This window comes from Homo sapiens, chromosome 11 (genome assembly GCF_000001405.40).
Source record: "Homo sapiens chromosome 11, GRCh38.p14 Primary Assembly".
NCBI lineage: Eukaryota > Metazoa > Chordata > Mammalia > Primates > Hominidae > Homo > Homo sapiens.
Genome location: NC_000011.10, coordinates 100,080,959 through 100,102,257, shown reverse-complemented (window position 1 = coordinate 100,102,257; position 21,299 = coordinate 100,080,959). Strand labels below are relative to the sequence as shown.

Below are 21,299 nucleotides of genomic sequence, written 5' to 3'. Positions count from 1 at the left end.
AAAGCCACAATTAAAAAAAAAAATAGACGTTAGTGTGGGTGTGGCAAAAGGGAACACTTACACTGAGGGTGGCAATGTAAACTAGTACAACCACTATAGAAAACAGTATGAAGATTCCTTAAAGAACTAAAAGTAGAACTACCGTTCAATTCAGCAATCCTACTACTGGGTATCTACCCAAAGGAAAATAAGTCATTATATGTAAAAGACATGCACATTCATGTTTTCAGCAGCACAATTTGCAGTTGCAAAGCTATGGAACCAATGTAAGTGCTCATCAACCAATCAGTGGACAAAGAAAATATGGTAGGTTTACACCACTGATATTACTCAGCCATAAAAAGAAAGGAAATAATATTTCGCAGCAACATGGATGGAGCTGGAGGCCATTATTCTAAGTGAAGTAATTCAAGAATAAAAAGCCAAGTATTGCATGTTCTCACATATACATGGAAGCTAAGCTACGAGGATGCAAAGGCATAAGAATTGTAGAATGGACTTCGGAGACTCAGAGGGAAAGTCTGGGAGTGGGGTGAGCAATAAAAGACTACATATTGGGTATAGTATACTCTGCCCTGGTGACAGGTGCACCAAAATCTCGGAAATCACCACTAAAGAAATTATCCATATAACCAAAAACCACCTGTACCACCAAAACTATTGAAATTAAAAAATTAAAAAAAGAATACATTGGAATTTCTTAGGAGTTTAGAGTAAAGATAAAGCAGAAGCCGCTGCATGAGGAAAGATGATGGAATCTAAAGGGATGCAATAAGCTCGATGCTTATGAGAAATTCTCTATCATTGGAGTGTAAAAGATACATGACTGAGTGGCAAGAGAAAAGGCTAGAAAAGTGGATTGTTCCTCCCTTCAGAAATATAATTCACTTTAATCTTATCCTTCTTGAGCATTTACCTTCCTCCCCATTCTCACTGTCAGAATATCATGTCTGTTTACACAAGTGTTTTCCTGTCACTGGTCTTTTCCACTGAACTTGCATGAATGCTACTTTTGAAAGCTCCTCTTCTACTCATATATACCAACATGCCAAGTTTACATCTCCCAGCTTAGTTCCAATCATCAAGTTGATGCAAATCTCCATTTTTATCCTGTATTCTAAAGGTATGAAAGGCCTCACTATTACAGGAACATACCGTATTGTTTCTATTTTATGCATTAGATGCTTTTATTTTCCTTATCTGAAATGTATTCTTTTCTTCTGCTAAACCAAGACCCATCTCTCATTATAAGGACTGGCTAAAGCCCCATGTGTTTTTGACATCTTTTCGATAATTTGTAGATATTGTATCAGTTGATGCAAGAAAATTGGGGAAATCCATCCTACTCATAGTTTAGACTTACCTATTTCAGAAAAATGTCTAAATTTAAGTTGCAAGTTTAGGTGGGGCAAATTGAGAAATTTAGCAAGCTGATTGCTGGGCATTTCCTCTTCTTACCTGCAAAGTCTTATAAGTATATCTGCTAACCAAATTCTAAGATGCAAACTGTTCTGAATATGGAAAAGCTATGACACAGGTAATACGAGCCAAGAAGACGTCTGAAATACTTTTTCTTTTTATAACATTTTCCTCTGAAACTGTAGTTTTTGATTGATTCATCAATTTGACTAATCAATCACATAAACAAAGGTTGTTTTGGTACCTCCTGTGAGCCAGGTACAGCAAAAGCAAATAGTCTACAGATGCCAGCTTCAAAGAGTTTACAGACAGTGGATGGAGAGACAAAGAATTGAATACTTTATGAAAATATAAAAGAATGGGTTCTATGGTAAATGTTTGTAGAACTCCAGCTGGACAGGGAGGGGCTTGCTCAGGAAAGTTTTCCAAAAGTGAAGAGGCCTATGAAGGGCCCTGAAGTATAAATGGGTGTATAGAGACATATGAGCAAATGATAAAACAATGAATCATGAAGTGCACTGAGCACCTATTATGTGTTTGGTATTTTTCTGGATATTCTGGAAACTAATCCAGAATGGGTATAAAAATGACATACACAAACACAAAAACACAGGGCCTCAAACAAAAGCACTTCAGATCCCCGTGCAGAATTTACAGTGCATTGGGTCAGAAACAATCTTTTTGAAACTAATCATTTAGCTTTGGAAACTGCAGCCAATTAAAACCCAGCAGATTATATGAGAGCTGTGTTGCTTAGGGCAGGAATTATACCAACGGAAAAGATAAAAATGCAGCAAATGGATAATTGGAACTAAGAAGAAAAGCAGTCAAGGGTTTTTAGTGAAGAAAGTGAAAATTTCCACATTTCACTAGGCTGTCACTAAACAGTCTGTTCACTCATTTATGCAACAGAAACAATGACTTAAAGAAATGACAGAGTGCCTACTGGATATGGAAGATTATACTAAATAAAGGAGATGTAAGGTGAAAACACACTGTAATGAGATAACACGTAACTTAGTAGAAACAATGTACTAAGTATGGCGATCAAAATATGGGCCAAGTCTCCCAGGAGCTCAGAGGAGATAATGATGAATTCTTCAACTGGGGCCTACATCACAGAGAAGGTAATTGGAAACTATAAATTGAATGATATTAATAGAAAAAAAAAAGCAAAAACCATTCTAGAAAGAGAAAGACTAATCACAAAGCAGAAAGAATTAGCATTCATAAACATTAAAATACGTGGAATGTTTGAAGAATGGCAAGGTAGCCTTGTGTAGTTATCCCCTTGTGATGTACAGTACTTTATAAAATGCCTTAAACCATTTTGGAACAGAGTAGAGTCTAACCAATGGACAAACTAATTAAATGTCAGCATGCATGCTAATAGAGGATGCAGGAATGAGGGTAGATTGATCTTAAACACCAATAGCTAGTCACATAGATCAATTTTAGTGTTCAGAAAATAATATCAAACTAAGAATCAGGAAATCCTAGCCCTTTCCCTAGGGTGTCCAACCACCCCAGTTTGCCTGAAATGTGGGATGTTCAGTGCTAAAACTGACATAATCCTGGGCAAACTAGGACAGTTGGTTATTCCAGTTCTGCTTTTAACTTTCTGTGTGAACTTGGGCCAGTTGCTCGACATCTCTGGGCCTCACTGTTTTTATGTTTAAGTATAACCAAGGTAATTAAAATGAATTTTCTGTAGAAATTCTTCAGTAATTTGTAAATTGTTTACAAAATTGGCTGCAAATATCCCCCTCTGTATACCTAGGCTCTTTTCCAAAGTTACTTTGCAGTTTTTCCCACTTGTCTTTCCCGCCCTTTAATCTGGACCTGCTCTGTGACATACTTTGACCAGTAGAATACAGCAGAAATGATGCTGACCCTAGGCTTTAAGAAACCCTGAAGATTTCCACTCATTTTCCTGACACTCTGCTCACCACCGGGTGAACAAGTCCGGCTAATCTGCTAGAAAATGATGGAATTTGTGGACAACTGTTGTGCTGTACAGATGTGACAGATGTGATGAGGGATATGAAAGGTACCAGCCAAGGTCAGCCAAACTGCTGACTCAACCTGCGGCTGACCACAGACAAATGATAAGCCCAGGAGAATAACCATTTTGCTGGCCCAAAATGCTACTGGGCAATAACATTAGAAACCACTCAGCTTTAGGGTGGTTTGTTACATAGCAACAAATAGATCTAAAAGATAATTTATACATTCAAGGTAAAGGGGGTACCAAGATACACTAATCTGTTCCAAAATGAGTAGTGTTCCTGCAAGGACAGCTGTAAGGACAATGGTTGGAACTAATATTTCCTAATAGAGTAAATCTAAAACACAGACAGACAGATTAAACACAACACAAAAACCTGTTGGAAATAAGAAAATCCTAGTCAAAAGAGGGCTTTCTTATTATTGAAATTATCATATCCTGGGAATCTTAATATTATTCATATTTTGTTATGTACTAAAGTCAGGGGTAAATATAGATATTTAAACCTTTATAATGTAAGTAATCACTACTTTCTTATCTTTGAATACAACAAAAGATGAATAATATTGAATTTGCTTTACAGTCTGATGTATTTGCTTTAAAGTCAAATACTTTTTTTTGCTTATACATAGCTATAATTCATGTTGAGATGTCCCTGGGTAATTGGACAGAAGCTTTAAAGTCCTGTAGTAGTCTCTCCATACTTAAGCACTAATGAAAATGGACCAGAAAGAACGTTTGCATGCAACGTGATTTGCATGTATAGATGATGACTTTTAGCTCGTAAAGCTAACCTATTACCTAGCTCATCTTGGTAATTCTGACAACGAAACAAATGAAGGATTTTTTCTTAAAAAAAAACTCCCCGATTTAATTTCTTTTACCATGTTTAATTTTGTCCTTTCATATCCACTCACAATTTCATCTGATCGGCTATTGAAAGGAAATATATGGGAATAACAGAGGATATAGTTTTGCCTCCAATATACAATATGCATTCTGTCTCATTCCATGAAAAATGAATAGCTGTTTTTAATAACATCTTGTGACAATGCATGAATCTCTCAGTCCCTAAAAATTAAAGAAACACAACATTTATTATTTCTAAAGAACCTTTTATCTCAAGATTTTGAAATGATTCCCAAATGAATGTTAAATCCAGACATCATCTTTCATTCCCTATACTCTATTCTTCCTTTTGATCTCAGTAGAGTCAAAATTTGATATATCTCATCACATTATTCATTTGCCTGTCATTCAAGTCTTTTATGATTTCTTTCCATTTCAGTCAATTGCCAGGAATAACTTCTTTTATTCTGTACAAGGTTTTTGTTTTTTTCACTTTTGCTAACATTCCTTCACATAGACACAATGACACTCTGTATCCAGAAAACTTATTCTTTTTCTAACTCTAACCTCTTTTATTCTTGTGGAAAATAAAGCTGATTCTTATTATACAGGGAACTGTGACATTCTGGAAAAGACACTTGGCTGAATATTAGGAGAGGCAGGTTCATGAATTTGAGCAAATCACTTTACCACTCTCATCCTCAGTTTTATTATCTGTAAAATGAGGAAGCTAGATTGAATGATATCTAATATTCCTTCCATCTTGAATAAAAGCTGCTCCCTCAATATTAGGCACTAAAGGAATTGTGATATATTAGGATTATAAAGGTATTTTTCTGCCCCAGAATCACTTAGGAAAAAGTACATTTCTATAATATCTCAACGGTTAATGGAAAATATTTCATCAAGTTACTTTTCAGTTAGAATTTTGTTGATCATCATTTCCTTAAATAACACAGCGTGGTTTTAAGAAACAAATGAAGAGAAGAGCAAAGTCTTGTGGAACACTGGGTTTCTCTGCCAAACAGGCAGCTTGAAAATTCTGTTATTCCCCAGCTACTGGGATTACATTAGTAGCTAAAAAAGCTTTTTCCATCTACTGTGTAGTCTCTGATTTGCCTTTAAATACACATGTGATGTAAATTCATGTTTTCCTTTCTTTCTCCATGTGGTCGGGAGAGTCACAGGGAATTATTGGTCCCCAGGCCAAAAAGTTTTAGAGCAGACTAATATGCTGGTAGAAAGTGACATGCCAGGTAGATTGATCTCCGTGGTAGAATATGCAGACTACATTCTAGTGTAGGTGTACTTGGGAACTGGATATAAGTCACTAGGATGAGAGTGTTAGAGCATGATGAGGTAGTCATAATTTGTACGTTTTGGTGGCCAATAAGGCCTAGGCAGTCAAGGGGTTTATCATTTCAAACCCGGATGGCTAGGAGAATGGTAGCAACAGTGATGGAGCTCCCAGGTGGGAGGGAGATCAGGTATCAGGGGATGATGTGAAGTAGTTGTTTACACACTAGCCAAGGGCAAAAGGTGCGAGTAGACGGACTATCCCAGAATACGGGTATATATCAGTGAATCTCAGAACAATGGGCCTTTAACATGAGCCATGTGCTCTACTTAACATATTGAAAGCGCGATCTCTTTTAATTCTCGCAAAACCAATGAAATAGGTGTCATTATCCTCCCCTTCTTAAAATGTGGAAAATGAAGCCTAGGAAGATTAAATAATGTGCCTGGGACTACACGTCAAGCAAATAGTCTAGCAATAGTTCTGGCTACACAATTTGTGGGGCCCAGTGAAAAATAAAAACATGGGTTTCTTGTTCAAAAATTACTAGGAATTTCAATTTGGTGCCAGTAAAACACTAAAGCAAGCAAAGGATCCTTCTAACTTTAGTGCTTTATGTAACTGCACAGGTGGCCAGACCATGATATCGGCCCTGTCTACCAATAATTAATCCTAATTCTGCTTGTAGCTGGTATTCCTGACCTCCAGCACATATCATGGTTTCTTTGCTGTTGAGTGGGAAGTAGAACAGCTTTGACAGATGTTTAAAACACTTATTATAACTGGAGACAAAATACTGACAAAAAGCCCTTTGCTAAAAATAATGGAGACATGTTATCTGTTGGAATGCTTAAATAAATCACCGAAGGCACACGTGTAGATAAAAACTGACTAAGTATTTTCTTTAATTGTTTTCTCTCCCAGCTTGAGAAACCATCAGAAATAAGCCTTACATGTAGATCTTGCCTAAGACCAAACTTGAGACTAAATTACTGATTGAGGAAATGTGTGCTAAAAGTACAATCACATTTTTCAAACTTTATTTCAAACAACATCTTGCTCTAGGATATTCAAATAGAGCCTTTTACCTAAAATCAATTTTTTACAGAGAGACAAATTGGTAACTAACTATACACAATGAACCCACGCACATTACCCATGTATTTGCACAGATGGCATGGACATGACCCATGATGTGTACTGTGTTGCCTGTGGTCATATACATCTAGACACCAGAATCTACATATAAATAAGCACTAGGTGGTTTCAAACACATCGTGAATTTTTAATAAATAAAGAACAATTATAAAAAGACTTCTGGTTAGTTTCTTCCACTCAAAAACATACTTTAATTTCTTCCCCTCAAAAACAGTAATTTTTAATAAAAAGAGAACAATGACAACAAGACTTCTAGTTAGTTTCTTCCACATAAAAACATAGTCTAGGTTTTTCTTGGAAACTCAGTGTAAATGAAGATACTTTGTAATTGCAGAAAAAAAATTGATAGCATATATCCATCCTCTAAGTTGGAATCTAGTTTTATATTTCACCCTCTTTTGGCTTATTAGTTCTTTGTGCAATATCATCATCTAATAAGCAAAGTGGAGAAATCGTGCTACAATATGGATGCTATCCTAAAATACTCAGTTCACTGGAGTGAAAGTGCTTTATATTTGCTTAGCTTAAGTAATTTTTAAATATATTTGTGCAAAGGATTTTTAATGAATAATAATTTCTATGTGAAGTCTTGACTGATACTAGTGTCTCTACTTATACAAGGTGAGCAACAAATTCTCATAAAAAGATGTGTTACCTTTCCTCAAACAAGCATAAATGGAATAATGATGATTTTTTTCTCCTTTAATTTCCTTCCTTCCTTCCTTCCTTCCTTCCTTCCTTCCTTCCTTCCTTCCTTCCTTTCCTCCCTCCCTCCCTCCTTCTTCTTTCCCTGTCTCTCTCTTTCCTTTTTTCCTCCTGGTCTGCTTTCCTTCCTTCATTTCTTTCTTCTTTCATTTCTTCTTTCTTTCCACCCTCCCCACAAACCCATCTCTCTTTAGAGAAGCTGGCAGTGAAGAATATCAATTAGAAAAGAGGTACTCAGAACCCAGAAAATTAAATCACCCCTCCACAACACACATCAGGGCTTTACTCCAGTGATTAGGGAAATATTATTTAAACGTTTGATAACATTAAAGTCTTAAAAGGTTTAAAAGTCGACTGACTCTTTAAAAATCAAGGCTAGTAAGAAAACTGAGATTTTAAAATGTCACTTTAAGCTAAATGATTATGCAGCTGATGTGAGAGAGGCAGACGGACTGGATTAAAGTCATGTGCTCAGTATGTTGCCTAGTAGAATATGAGTTCTTACCCAGTTGGAGGCAGGGGGAGGAGCAAGATACACAATGAGATGAAGAGGTGGAGAAAGAAGAAGTTTTCAGTCAAGTGGGAGCACCTGAGAGTTAGATCCATAGACCATAGCTGATAAGATTTCCGCATCTACCAGATCCAGGGCATCTGCTCAGTTCAGTCTCCTGAAGACCTGGCTCCCATTGTGCTTTTTAATTTTTAATTTTTTTAACCCAAGAGATTCCTTCTTTTCTCATTGTCAGATGTAACAATGTAATTAACCACCATTATTAAATAAAGCCTAAATATGTCTGGTTTCAGGTAAACAAAAGGATCCGACACAGTTATGAATAACCTGCATAATTTGAGTTAATTGGTACAAATCTGGAGAGTGAAACTTTCTCCTGTTCACCCTGAAGGGAAATGTTAATCCTGACCAGCTGTGTTTGCTCCTTCTGCCTGCTCATGAGAGTTACTTAGGCACTAATAGAACTTCTAGATCATGGGGATCCACCTAGATCTGCTGCATCAGAATTTCCAGGGGAAGGGGCCTAGGTGTCTGTATTCCTAACAAAATCCACGTGTAATTCTTGTGACTGGGCCACTTTGGCAAAAGCTGTTGAGCAGTCATGAGGTCCTGATTGTGGCCCTGAACTCAAGTCAGGTTGTACAGACTGTAGAAAAAATTAGAGAACCCTGGCTTGCTTTATTATATATATTTTCAAAAAGACATCAATTAAATAGGGGTGTGCACCTGAAAACTTGCAACTTGGGCCAGGCACAGTGGCTCACACCTGAAATCCCAGAACTTTGGGAGGTTGAAGTGGGAGAACCACTTGAGGCCAGGAGCTTGAGACCTATTTGAGAAACATAGCAAGACCTCATCTGTATAAAAAAAAAATAATAAAAACTTAGCTGGGCATGATGGCACACACCTGTAGTCCCCACTACTCAGGAGGCTGAGGATGGAGGATTGCTTGAGCCCAGGAGTTCCAGATTACAGTGCGCTATGGTCTTGCCACTGCACTCCAGCCTGGGTGACAGAACAAGACTGTCTCAAAAAAAGTGCATTTTTCAGAAGTGATCAACAAACACTAGCTGTGGTATAGAGAACACCCGAGAGAAAACAGGGCTTCCCACAGCTAGATCATAACTGTGAGGGCTGAACTAGCAGAAGGAAATAGCCACTCTTGTTGTCTTTGAGTCAACCCCGCACTGTTGCAGAACATGTATGGCGGATCAGGGACAATACTCAAAGTTGGTCATTGAGAGAGGAGGCAGATACTGTATATTGCTGCTGAAGAGGCTCATGTACATATAAATGACCCATGAAATGAGGCAAGAGGATGGAACTTAGCTTTTTCTCCAAAACCAGGGCGAGTAGGGATCTGCGAAACTCAGAAATACTAACATTTACAGCCTATATGTTAAAAAGCACATCTTGTTTCAGTGTCATTGCAAGCACCAGGGCCTCAACCAACTCAAAGAGAAAAGAAGTTGGAAATCACCGCTTTAAAACCAGGTGCACAGGTGCAAGCATACTGCACCCCACCTCCGCCTCCCAGCACACACATATGCGCAAAGAGGACAATCACATAAAATTTTAAGCATTGATCTCAGTATGGGGGAAGAGCACAGTCCTATTCCACACATGATTTATACAGATATAACAGCTTTAATGTGGTGTGCCACCTCTAAATTTTTAAAACAATCTTATAATAGTGTTTAAAACCAGATAGGGACAGTTTGGAGAGCAAAGCTATATCAAAGGGTTTAGTTAAGATGATTTACTTGTGGGTTTTAAACAGCATTAAGTGGTTTGTGAAAAGCGTTCTGATTTGTGCTTAATATGGATGGTGCTTAAAAGTCTGGGCAGTGGAAAGGTACAGCCCTGGAGACACATTCACCACGAAAATGCAGGCCTTAAATACAGCTGGGTGTTTGCTTCCAAGACTGCTTTTCTGAATATTAGCATTTAAACCTCCCACAGAGGCTTTGCAGATGCTTCACCGGGTAAATGAAGTAAAGATGAGAAAAGTTACACCCCACTGCTGTTTCTTTTTAATTTAGTGATAGTTCTAAAAATTCAGTTGACCAGATAATCAGAATTTAAACTAGTAGAAAACAAGCTTTCTTGAAAATCCAACTCAGCTTAGTTAATATTCTTAAATAAACAAAGGGAACTGACCCTACTTCTGCTTACAACCTTCTGATTCAATTTCCATGCTATTTTAACCATAAAAAAGTAATTACTCTTTATCTGAGTAATATGAAAGTAGTCATAATAATATGATTTTTGTTATTATATTTTTTCAAAGAAATTCAGAGTGGTATATAATACTGTCTCATTCATTCCTCATAATATCCTTAATAAATTAGCTTGAGCTATTACCATCTACACACACTTTTGTGAGGTTGAGTCATGGACACATATAAGGTAGGAACTGCAGAAGACCTGGGTACATGTGTTACTCCAAAAATTCATTTAAAACATATTTTTTAGCTTCCACATGTACAAAGGATAATTCTAGGCTCTGGGGTCACTGAATGAAAAGCAAACAAGCCCCCTGATTCAATTTTAGTTAGTGAGACAAATAAAAAATGAATAAATAGGCTGGGCGCGGTGGCTTACACCTGTAATCCCAGCACTTTGGTAGACCGAGTTGGGTGGATCACAAGGTCAGGAGTTCAAGACCAGCCTGGCCAACGTGGTGAAACCCATTTTCTACTGAAAATACAAAAAATAGCTGGGCATGGTGGTGGGCACCTGTAATCTCAGCTACTCAGGAGGTTGAGGCAGGAGAATCATTTGAACCCAGGAGGCGGAGTTTGCAGTGAGCCGAGATTACACCAGTACGCTCTAGCCTGGGCAAAAGGGTGAGACTCTGTCTCAAAAAAAAAAAAAAAAAAAAAAGAATAAATAAAAAATAAACCAAAAAGAACATTGCAGAGTGTGATGAGTGATTTGAAGAACACCAGATGAGATGTGTGAGAGAAGTAACAAGGATAGGGGTAATAATTTCAGATAGAGGGTCAGGAAGGCCTCCGAGAAGGTAACATTTGACCTGAGACCTAGATTTCAGGAGACCATAAGGCAACACTCTGGGCAACAGTACTTCAAGCTGAGGAGATAAGTGGTGCCTTGTCCTGCAGTAGGAATAAATCTACTGCATGCACCGAACAGGGAGTGTAATGATGGGGCTGGACTTTCATGAGCATGAAGAAATGCGGGAATGGGACAAAGAGAAAGACAAAGGCAGAAGTTAGCTCATGCAGAGTCTCATGTGTCGTAGAAGGGAGTTGTAATTTTATTCCAAATAATGGGGAAGCCATTGGAAAGTTTCAAAAAGTAAACTGACATGATTCAAGTTATTTTCTAAAATTAAAACTCTGATTGCTGGATAGAGAATGCTGTACAGAGCAAGACTGGATAAAGAGAGGCCAGTTCTTAGGCTATTGGGGTAAAGTGATGTGTATTATGTGTGTAGATAGAGAGAGAAAACAACTTTAAGCAGTTCAAAAGATTTTATTTCTGTGGTAAAAATTGATTAAGGATTAGCAGTGCACAAAATATAAATCAATGATAGATATTAAAGACAAAAATAAATGAACTTTCTACCATGTAAGGACACAGTGAAATGGCACTGTCTGTGAACCAGAGAGTGAGCTCTCACCAGGCACTGAATCTCCTGGTAGCTTGTACTGGGACTTCCTAGCCCCCAGACAGTGAGAATTAAATTTCTGATGTGAAAGAAGGAAGGAGGGAAGGAAGGAGGGAGGGAGGGAGGGAAGGAAGGAAGGAAGGAAGGAAGGGAGGGAGGGAGGGAGGGAGGGAGGAAAGGAGGAAAGGAGGGAGGGAAAGAGAGAAAAAGAAAGAAAGAGAAAGAGAGGAAGGAAGGAAGGAAGGCAGGCAGGCAGAAAAGAAAAGAAAAAGAAAGAGGGACAGAGGGAAAAAGAAAATAACAAATTGATCAGGTTTCACTGCTGTTTTTAAAGATAACCATTCTAACTGGTTGAAGAGGAGTGCTGATATTGGGCATCCTTGTCTTTCTCTAGTTCTCAAGGTGAATGCTTCCATTGTTTGCCCATTCAGTATGATGTTGGTTGTGGGTTTGTCACAGATGGCTCTTATTGTTTTGAGATATGTTCTTTCAATGCCTAATTTCTTGAGGGATTTTATCATAAAATGTTGGATTTTATTGAAAGTTTTTCTCTATCTATTGAGAAGATCATATGGTTTTTGTTTTTAATTCTGTTTTTGTGGTGAATCACATATTTTAAAAGTGTAATTTAAAGTTCTGGGATACATGTTCAGGATGTGCAGGCTTGTTACATAGGTAAACGTCTGCCATGGTGGTTTGCTGCACCTGTCAACCCATCACCTAGGTATTAAACCCAGCATGCATTAGCTACTTTTCCCAATTCTCTCCCTCCCCTCTACTCCCCAACCCACTCCAGTGTATGGTGTTCCCCTCCCTGTGTTCATCTGTTTTCATGTTCAGCTCCCACTTATAAGTGAGAACATGTGGTGTTTGGTTTTCTGTTCCTGCATTAGTTTGCTGAGGATAATGGCTTCCAGCTCCATCAACGTCCCTGCAAAGGACATGATCTTGTCCCTTTCTATGGCTTCATAGTATTCCATGACGTATATGTACCATGTTTTCTTTATCCAGTCTATCAATGAAGGGCATTTGGTTTGATTCCATGTATTTGCTATTGTGAATAGTGTTGCAAGGAACATATCTTTATAATAGAATAATTTGTATTCCTTTGGGTATTCACCCAGTAATGGGATTGCTAGGTCAAATGGTATTTTTGGTTGTAGGTCTTTGAGGAATGGCCACACTGTCTTACTCAATGGTTGAACTAATTTACATTCTCACCAAGAGTGTAAAAGTGTTTCCATTTCTCCACAGCCCAACAAGCATCCATTGTTTTATAACTTTTTAATAATAACCATTCTAACTGGCATGAGATGATATCTCATCGTGGTTTTAATTTGCCTTTCTATAATGATCGGTGATGTTGAGCTTTTTTGCATATGTTTGTTGGCTGCATGTACAGAATGGGAGGAAATTTTTGCAATCTGCCTATCTGATAAAGGTCTAACATCCAGAATCTACAAGGAGTTTAAATAAATTTACAAGAAAAAAACAAACAACCCCATTAAAAAGTGGGCAAAGGACATGAACAGACACTTCTCAAAAGAAGACATACATGTGTTCAACAAACATATGAATCACATTTATTGATTTGCATATGTTGAACCAACCTTTCATCCCAGAAATAAAACCTACCTAATCAGGGTCAATTGGCTTTTTGACGTGCCTTTAGATTAGGTTTGCTAGTATATTTAGAGAATGTTTTGTTTTTTTAATTGGGGATATTGGCCTGTAGCTTTCTTTTTTGTTGTATCTTTGCCAGGTTTTGATATTGGAGTGATGCTGGCTTCATAGAGTCACTTAGGGAGGAGCCCCTCCTCTTTGTCTTTTTGGAATCATTTCAGTAGAATTGATATCAGCTCTTTCTTGTATGTTTGGTAGAATTTGTCAGTGAACTAATCTGGTCCTCAGTGTTTTTTGGTTGGTAGGTTTTTATTACTGATTGCATTTTGGAACTGGATACTGGTCTGTTCAGGCTTTTAATTTCTTCCTGATTCAATCTTGGGAGAATGTGTGTTTTCATAAATTTATGCATTTCATCTAGATATTCTGATTTGTGTGCATAGAGGTGTTCATAATAGTCTCTGAGGATCTTATGTATTTCTGTGGGATTGGTTGTAATGTGACCTTTGTCATTTCTTATTGTGCTTATTTGGATGTCCTCTCATTTTCTTTGTTAATTTAGCTAGCAGTCTGTCAATTTTGCTTATCCTTTTAAAGAACCAAATTTGGTTTCATTGATTCTTTGCATGAACTTTTGTTTCTCAGTATTTTATTCAGCTCTGCTCTAATTTTAGTTATATCTTTTCTTCTGCTAGCTTTGGGTTTAGTTTGTTTTTATTTATCTAGTTCCTCTAGGTATGATGTTAGATTGTTAGAGATGTTTCTCATGTTTCAAGGTAGGCATTTAGTGCTGTAAACTTCCCTCTTAACACTGCTTTTCAGAAATTTATCCATTTTTTCTTGATATTCTGGTTTGTGTGTATAGAGGTGTTCATAATAGTCTCTGAGGATTTTATGTATGTCTGTGTGATTGGTGATAATGTCATCTTTGTCATTTCTGATTGTGCTTATTTGCATCTTAGAGATTTTGGTGTGTTGTGTCTCTTCATTTATTTCAAAGAATTTTTTTTTTTATTTCTGCCTTAATTTTATTGTTTTACTCAAAAGTCATTCAGGAGCAAGTTGTTAAATTTCCATGTAATTGAGTAATTTTGAGAGGTCTTCTTGGTATTAATTTCTATTTTTATTCCACTGTTCTTGGTATGATTTCTATTTTTTTAGTTTATTAAGACTTGCTTTATGGCCAAGCATGTGGTAGATCTTGGAAGTGTGTTTCATGTGCAGATGACAAGAATGTATATTGTGTGGTCAATGGGTAGAGTATTCTGTAGATTTCTATTAAGTCCAGTTGGTCAAGTTAAGTCCAGAATTTTTAAATTAGTTTTCTGATTTGATGATCTGTCTAATGCTCTAAGTAGGATGTTGAGTTCCCCCACTACTGTTGTGTGGCTAAGTCTTTTTGCAGGTCTAGAAGTATTTGCTTTATGAATTTGGGTTCTCTAGTATTGGGTGAATGTATATTTAGGATAGTTAAGTCTTCTTGTTGAATTGAACCCTTTATCATTATATAATGTCATCTATGTTCATGAGGGTGATTGGCTTGTGTTTTTACTTCTCATATTGTCTTTGGCAAATTTTGTTGTTAGGGTTATTTTCCCTCTTTTCTATACTGTGAAATAACTGTGTACAATTGGGATCATTTGTTCTTATTTTTTTTGGTAGAAATTTCTACTGAAAGCATTTACACCTTGAGTTTTTTGGTGTATGTTTGAAGATTTTTTAACTACTAATTTAATAGTTATGAAATTATTTAAATTTTTCAATTCTTCTTGAGTCAATTTGAAATATCATTTTTTATTCATTTAATCAAATGATCCAATTTTTTGTCATTTAATTATTTATCATGTTTTTATTTTCTTTTTATCTGTTTATGGCATCTGTGCTTATTTTTCATTTTTGCTCTCAGTATTTTGTAGCTCTTTTCTTGATTTTAGGATTACTACAGATATGTTCATTTTCTTGGTCCTCTGAAAGTATCAATATTTGACTTTACCAATCTTCTAATTGTGCTTATATTTGTTTGTAATTGAATTATTTTTGAATTTATTATTTTCTTGCATTTACTTTTAGTTTCATGTTCGTTTCCTAATTTCTTAAGATAGAAGCTCAGCTCATTCATTTTCAACTCCCCTCTTTTGTAACATAAATACATAGAGCGATAAATTTTCCCTTATATTCTGAAATACAAGGAATATATTTGAGATTCCCCACTCTGATAGTGGGGAAATTTTATACTATTTTTATATTCCTTCTTGTATAGTCTGTTTTTCTTGTATTGATATAGTTAAACAAGTTTTGGGGGGTTAATATTATATGATTCATTTTTTCCCATTATTAACTTTCAACTTTGCTATTTATTTTTGCTTAAAACAAAGCTCTTACATATAATTGCTGAATTTTTATTTCTAGTTCGGTATTTACAGTAATTTCTGATATATTTGGTTTTTCTGAATTATTTTATGCTTTCTATTATCTCATATATATATACACACACACATACATATATATGGATATATATATCCCTCTGTTTTTTTATTGGTATATGTACATATATCCCTCTGTTTTTTGATTGGTTAACTTTTCATTATATTTATTTTTTTAACTAGTTTGGAAATAGCATACCTTATTTCAATGCTTTTACTGGTTGCACTAAAAATTTTTCTTTTTTTTTATTGTTTTGATACCAGAAGTTTCCTTCTAGCTTCTTGCTAGCTCGTTGTTGAAACAAGGATATTTAAGTAATATTTATTTATATATTTTATATTTAAGTCGTAACTTTAATTCTTTTCTCTTTGGTAGACAGAGTAATTAGTGGGCATTTTTCTATAAAATAAATATAATTTAAAAAATTAAATAAAAGATATTAATTCAAAAAGATGTGAACTGAGTCTTTCAAAGACTACCTCTTGGCTACTAAGTTAAGCTTGAACTCAATCTGTGCATTCAAGTTCTTCTTTATTTGTCTTCAGCTATTCAATTGTTTCAGCAGATTTTTCATTTTGATACATAGTCTATACCCTGGACAAATATTAGTATTTACTTTCCCAAAAGTGTCCTGAATTCATAACTATTTTTGCAAATTCTGAAGTCTCTTCCTAAAATATACTCTGTCCCTCTGTGTTAAAATCCTATTCCAAGACCACTTCAATGGCAGTTCCCCCAGGAAGCTTATCTTTTATCTAGATTTTATTTTCTTCTTTCTTAACTCTCAAAGTTTTTTGTATGGTACAGTAGACTGAGAACAGGTTTTAGATTCAAACAGAATTAGGACGCTCTCATTTTGGCTCTGTTACTTGTTACGAGTGTGTGTGCTTAGGCAGTCTCTCTATGATTTAATTATTTATAATCAGGATTATATTATTTAAAATCGTATCTTATTTTGAGGACTTTAATAAAGTAATGCAATATAAAAATACCCAATGCTCAGTCAGTCCTATTTTTATTATTACCTTAGTTTATCCTATTTTATAGGTGTCTATATTAGTTTTATTTTCCACCAGACAGGTGCCTCCTTGGGAGATGGGATTCTCTCTTACTTATCTTGGTATGAACTGGCATAGTGTCTTATATACAGTATATGTTGAAGAAAGTTTAGTTTTTATGGAAATAAATTGAATTGAATATAACTGTTCATAGACCATGTGTCTGCTGCATGAGGGTGAAGGAGTTTTGGGAATGTTATCCCAAAATATGAAGTTTTGTTGTGCTGATTACTTTAAATTGAAGGCACCTGGGGACCAGCAGCAGCAGGCAGAGGTTTTCTCTGAATTTTTCTTATTGTTTTGATACCAGATACTCCAGAAAAAATTCAATTCATCCTGGATCTCCTCCCCAGGAAACTCATCATTGTGAGAAATTGACACATATCCCAGAAAAAAAGACCGGAAGTTAGCGCCACACCCAGACAGAATTTCTCACTGGTTACCACGTGCTCTTTGGGCCTATTCATTCTCTCCCCAAAATTATTTACTCCCCCTTAAGTGGCCTATATCCCACCACCCCTCTCTTCTATGAAAAGGATATATAAGCTTCTAAACTTCATTGGGTTACTGGGTACTCACTTTTCTTTCTGTGATGCCCCTGTGCACACAATCAATTTGTATGCATTTTGTCTTATTAATCTGTCTACTGTCGGTTTATATTTCATAGACTCAGTTACTGAACCTTCAGAGGGTAGAGAAAGAAAGGTTTTCTCTCTCCATTAAGGAAAAGGAGAAGTAGAGCTACCATTTGCAACTGGAAAGAAAGAGGAACAAAATCATATTGGTATCTTGAAAACTCCAGCTATTAACTAATAACATAGTAATCATCTTAAAATGTATAGGTATTTTATTAACTATCAATCTATCTCCCTACTTACCTACCTACCTACCTCTTTTTTTTTCAGAAACCACACTGTCATTGGAACACAGAGATGTAAGCATGCAAATGATAACATCTGTATATGTTATATTTCATGGAAATGATGTACAGTTTCTTTCCATTTGTAGTCAAGGTTATCATTGTACTATGCTTTAATTTGTAACCAAACCTCTAATTCTCATTATAAATTAACCAAAGTTAAATTACATCGTGATTTATGCAAAATCTGAAAAGAAGTGACTATGTAATTCTCAGAGGATGCTAAAAATCTCGACCGTACAATGCTTTTTTTCTAAGCAGCCTCAGAATCTTCTCTCCTCACCATTTTATATTCACTGAAGAGTCACTTGGGGAGGTAGTCGAATCAGTTAGGAGCATATACTTAGATGCTTGAATTCCCAAGTATTTTAGATGCTGTTTGTATTAAGGACAAATTAAGCTGAAAGTTGTAGTCTGGGGGGCTTTTGGAAAAGAAAAACCTGTGAGCAATTAATGGCTTGTTCAAGTTGTGCTTATGTGGAGAGCACAACCAGGCAACTTGTGAAGCAATTTATAGTAACTGGGGTAAATGAACCATGGTTAGAAGTAGAATTCATAAACTGTTTCCTAAACTGGTAATTAGCTAGAGATGTAACATGTAAAGTCAAAAACTGGAGGTGCTCATAGTACAACAAACCAGACTTGTTCTGTTGTCATTTACAGCTTAAATTAACTGAGTTTCTCAGTGTTATCTCTCGTTGGGAGTTGAGACTTATTTTATTATATTCAACAATTAAGAAAAAAGTGAAATCTAGAAACAAACTGGTGGAGTGGTCAAGAAAAAGAAAATATTTGAAGGACTTTAAAGAGGAGTGTTTAGGTTTTCCATCACCCTAAATTTGGAAAATATTAGGAACTGATATTTTGAGAGTTCCTGAAGTGTTTATCTTCTGATCTTCTGTGTTTAAGTGGATGCCATTAATTTAGATATTTGTGATCATCGTTATACTATGTAAACATACTGTTGAAAATGGAATTATTTGAAAATGTGAGAATTTTTTTCCCATTCTCATTCAACTATTTGGCAGAGTGTGAGTACACTGTTATTCAATAAATTTGCATTATTTTGGGTTATTAATTCTCTTAAAGAGACCAAGCTTAGAAATATGGATAGTACGGTTTACATGTTTGTCCCCTCCAAACCCTATGTTGAAATCAGATTCCCAGTGTTGGAGATGGGGCCTGGTAGGAAGTGATTAGATCACAGATGCAGATCCCTTGTGAATGGTATAGCATCATCCCCTGATGATAAGTGAGTTCTTGCTCAGTTCACTAAATATGTGGTTGTTTAAAATACTCTGGGACCTCTTCCCATCTCTCTTTTTTTTTTTTTTTGAGACAGAGTTTTGCTCTCATTGCCCAAGCTGGAGTACAGTGGTACAATATCAGCTTACTGCAACCTCTGCCTCCTGGGTTCAAGTGATTCTCCTGCCTCATCCTCCCGAGTAGCTGGGATTACAGGAATGCACCACCACGCCCAGCTAATTTTTTGTATTTTTAGTAGAAACAGTGTTTCACCATGTTATCCAGGCTGGTCTCGAACTCCTGACCTCAGGTGATCCGCCTGCCTCAGCCTCCCAAAATGCTGGGATTACCGGTGTGAACCACTGCACCCAGCCTTCTTATCTCTTTTGCTCCCACTCTGGCCATGTGAGGTGCCTGCTTCTGCTTCACCTTCTACTTTGCTTGTTAGTTTCCTGAGGTCCTCACTTGAAGGAGATGCTGGCATCCCACTTCCTGTATGGCCTGTAGAACTGTGAGCCAATTAAACCTCTTTTTCTTTATAAATTACCATGCCTCAGGTATTTCCTCACAGTGATGCAAAAGAGAAATGCATAAAGTGGCGTTGAAAATTATCTATAATCCTCTTCTCAGAGATAACCTGTGAACAATTAGCTGCATTTATTTCCAGTATTTTTAATGTATTTGTGTCCATGCAGACATTTTCTCTTCAAATGAAATTTCTACCGTGTTCAATGATTTCTTCCACTGATAATATACCATTATTTTATCATTGTCCTTAAGTACTCATCAAAAATGTAATTAAAAAAGCCCACAGTGGGCTGGGCAGAGTGGCTCACACGTATAATCTTAGCAATTTGGGAGGTCAAGCTGGGAGGAGTGCTTAAGCCCATGAATTCAAGACAAGCTTGGGCAACATGGTGAGACCCCATCTCTACCAAAACAAATTAAAAAAATTTTCCAGGCATGGTGGTGACAGTGTGCTCTTGTGGTCCCAGCTACTCGAGAGGCTGAGGTGGGACAAATGCTTGACCCTGGAAGGTCGAGGTTGCAGTGAGCTGTGTATGTGCCACTGCACTCCAGCTTGGGTGACATTGTGAGACCCTATCTCAATAAAAGCAAACCTACAATGCTTCTACAATATATCTGTTTTTTGTAAATCTTTAATTTTTCCTATATGGACTATGACTATATTTACTTGCGTTGCCACCATGATTTAGAATGCTTTCAGCTTTTTGCTTTGCAACTCCTGATATTTATTAACTTATTTGTACACACACCCATACACACACAATTTTTTTGTATTGTACTTAAGCATGATGATGATTCTTTTTATATTTGCTTGACATCTTGTTACCAAATTTATGACTATCAGTTAACTGTCATGCTTAATGTGTGTTTGTGCTTTAAACTCTCTTGTACTCCTATGTCTATAGGCCTATTTTTGCCAATTGGCAATATTTTCAGTTTTATTTGTCTCTTTTTTCTCTCAGTGCTCCAGAATCTGTTCCCCAAATATTAATCTCAAGGTCAGTTAGGTACACAGCTGTAGTCAAACGCTCAAGGTCTACTAAGGCTATAATGAAGCTCAACTGGACTGAGGTGAGATGTTTGTCAATTTCCATTTTCTAGTCCTTAGTCGTATCTAGAGGTAAATTTACTCCTGAAAAATTAGAAACGGTATATAGTCCTTCTTTTGCTAGAAGTAGTACACGGAATTACATAATTTCCAGAATCCATGAATTTCAATTTTTCCTCAGTATCACCATTTGTTGACATTATGCTTTATTTGCTAATCACTTGAAATCCTAAGATTTATGTCCTCTCTCACCCCATTGCTGGATTCATAATGTCCAAAAAGTGTTGGATTAGTTCAGATGGGGTGGAATACGGACATAGCATCTTACCACCTTGCAGGTGGGAGGGAGGTTCAAGCCAGCTTCTGTAGTAAGATGCAATTTCTGAATTTAGTAGATATGGACATAAAGTAGAAGTGAGTAAAATTTTTCCTCTGCTGGTTTCTTAATTGACTTCATTAAAGTTTCAGAGGTCTAGCTTTCAACAACTCATTGATAAATTCTTAATTTAGCTCATTTCTATATGAAACGGTGATTCCTCCCAGAAGTCAACAATTCTTAATTTCCAATGCTATATATTCTTAATTTCCAATGCTGCTATGACTGTGTTTTCTTTCCTTTTATATTTTTCTAATAAAATATAATAAAATGCTAATGCTTTATATTTTAAAATTTTTTCTAATAAAAAATTAGCATTCTAAGGAAAAGATGAAGAAGGTGACTCAGGCAGAGTCTTGTGCAGTTAGCTTTCACTGAAATCAGGAAGTCAGTATCTTAATCTCATCATAATGAATGTAAGGCCATTTCCTTCTCATCCCCTTAAGTTCATGGATAGGAAACAGCAAGAAACCATCCCTGAGTACTAAGGCATCTTA

At 36.3% G+C, this 21,299-nt stretch overlaps 1 protein-coding gene and 1 long non-coding RNA gene across 13 annotated transcripts in view, besides 1 other annotated feature; one reads left to right on the top strand and one right to left on the bottom strand.

The window, feature by feature from the left end:
• CNTN5 (contactin 5) overlaps positions 1 to 21,299 on the bottom strand; it is a 1,337,937-nt gene that overhangs the window by 256,628 nt on the left and 1,060,010 nt on the right. The window lies entirely within an intron of this gene.
• The window catches only part of LOC105369456 (uncharacterized), a 54,991-nt gene that overhangs the window by 3,984 nt on the left and 29,708 nt on the right, over positions 1 to 21,299 (top strand). The window lies entirely within an intron of this gene.
• Positions 8,604 to 8,773: an enhancer, noted in NCBI's record as "experimental_22479 CRE fragment used in MPRA reporter constructs". NCBI's record gives its function as "activates a minimal promoter by MPRAs in K562 erythroleukemia cells, with activity observed for both the introgressed and non-introgressed 11:99964302 variant alleles {active_cell/tissue: K562}" and the evidence as "EXISTENCE:reporter gene assay evidence [ECO:0000049][PMID:34662402]".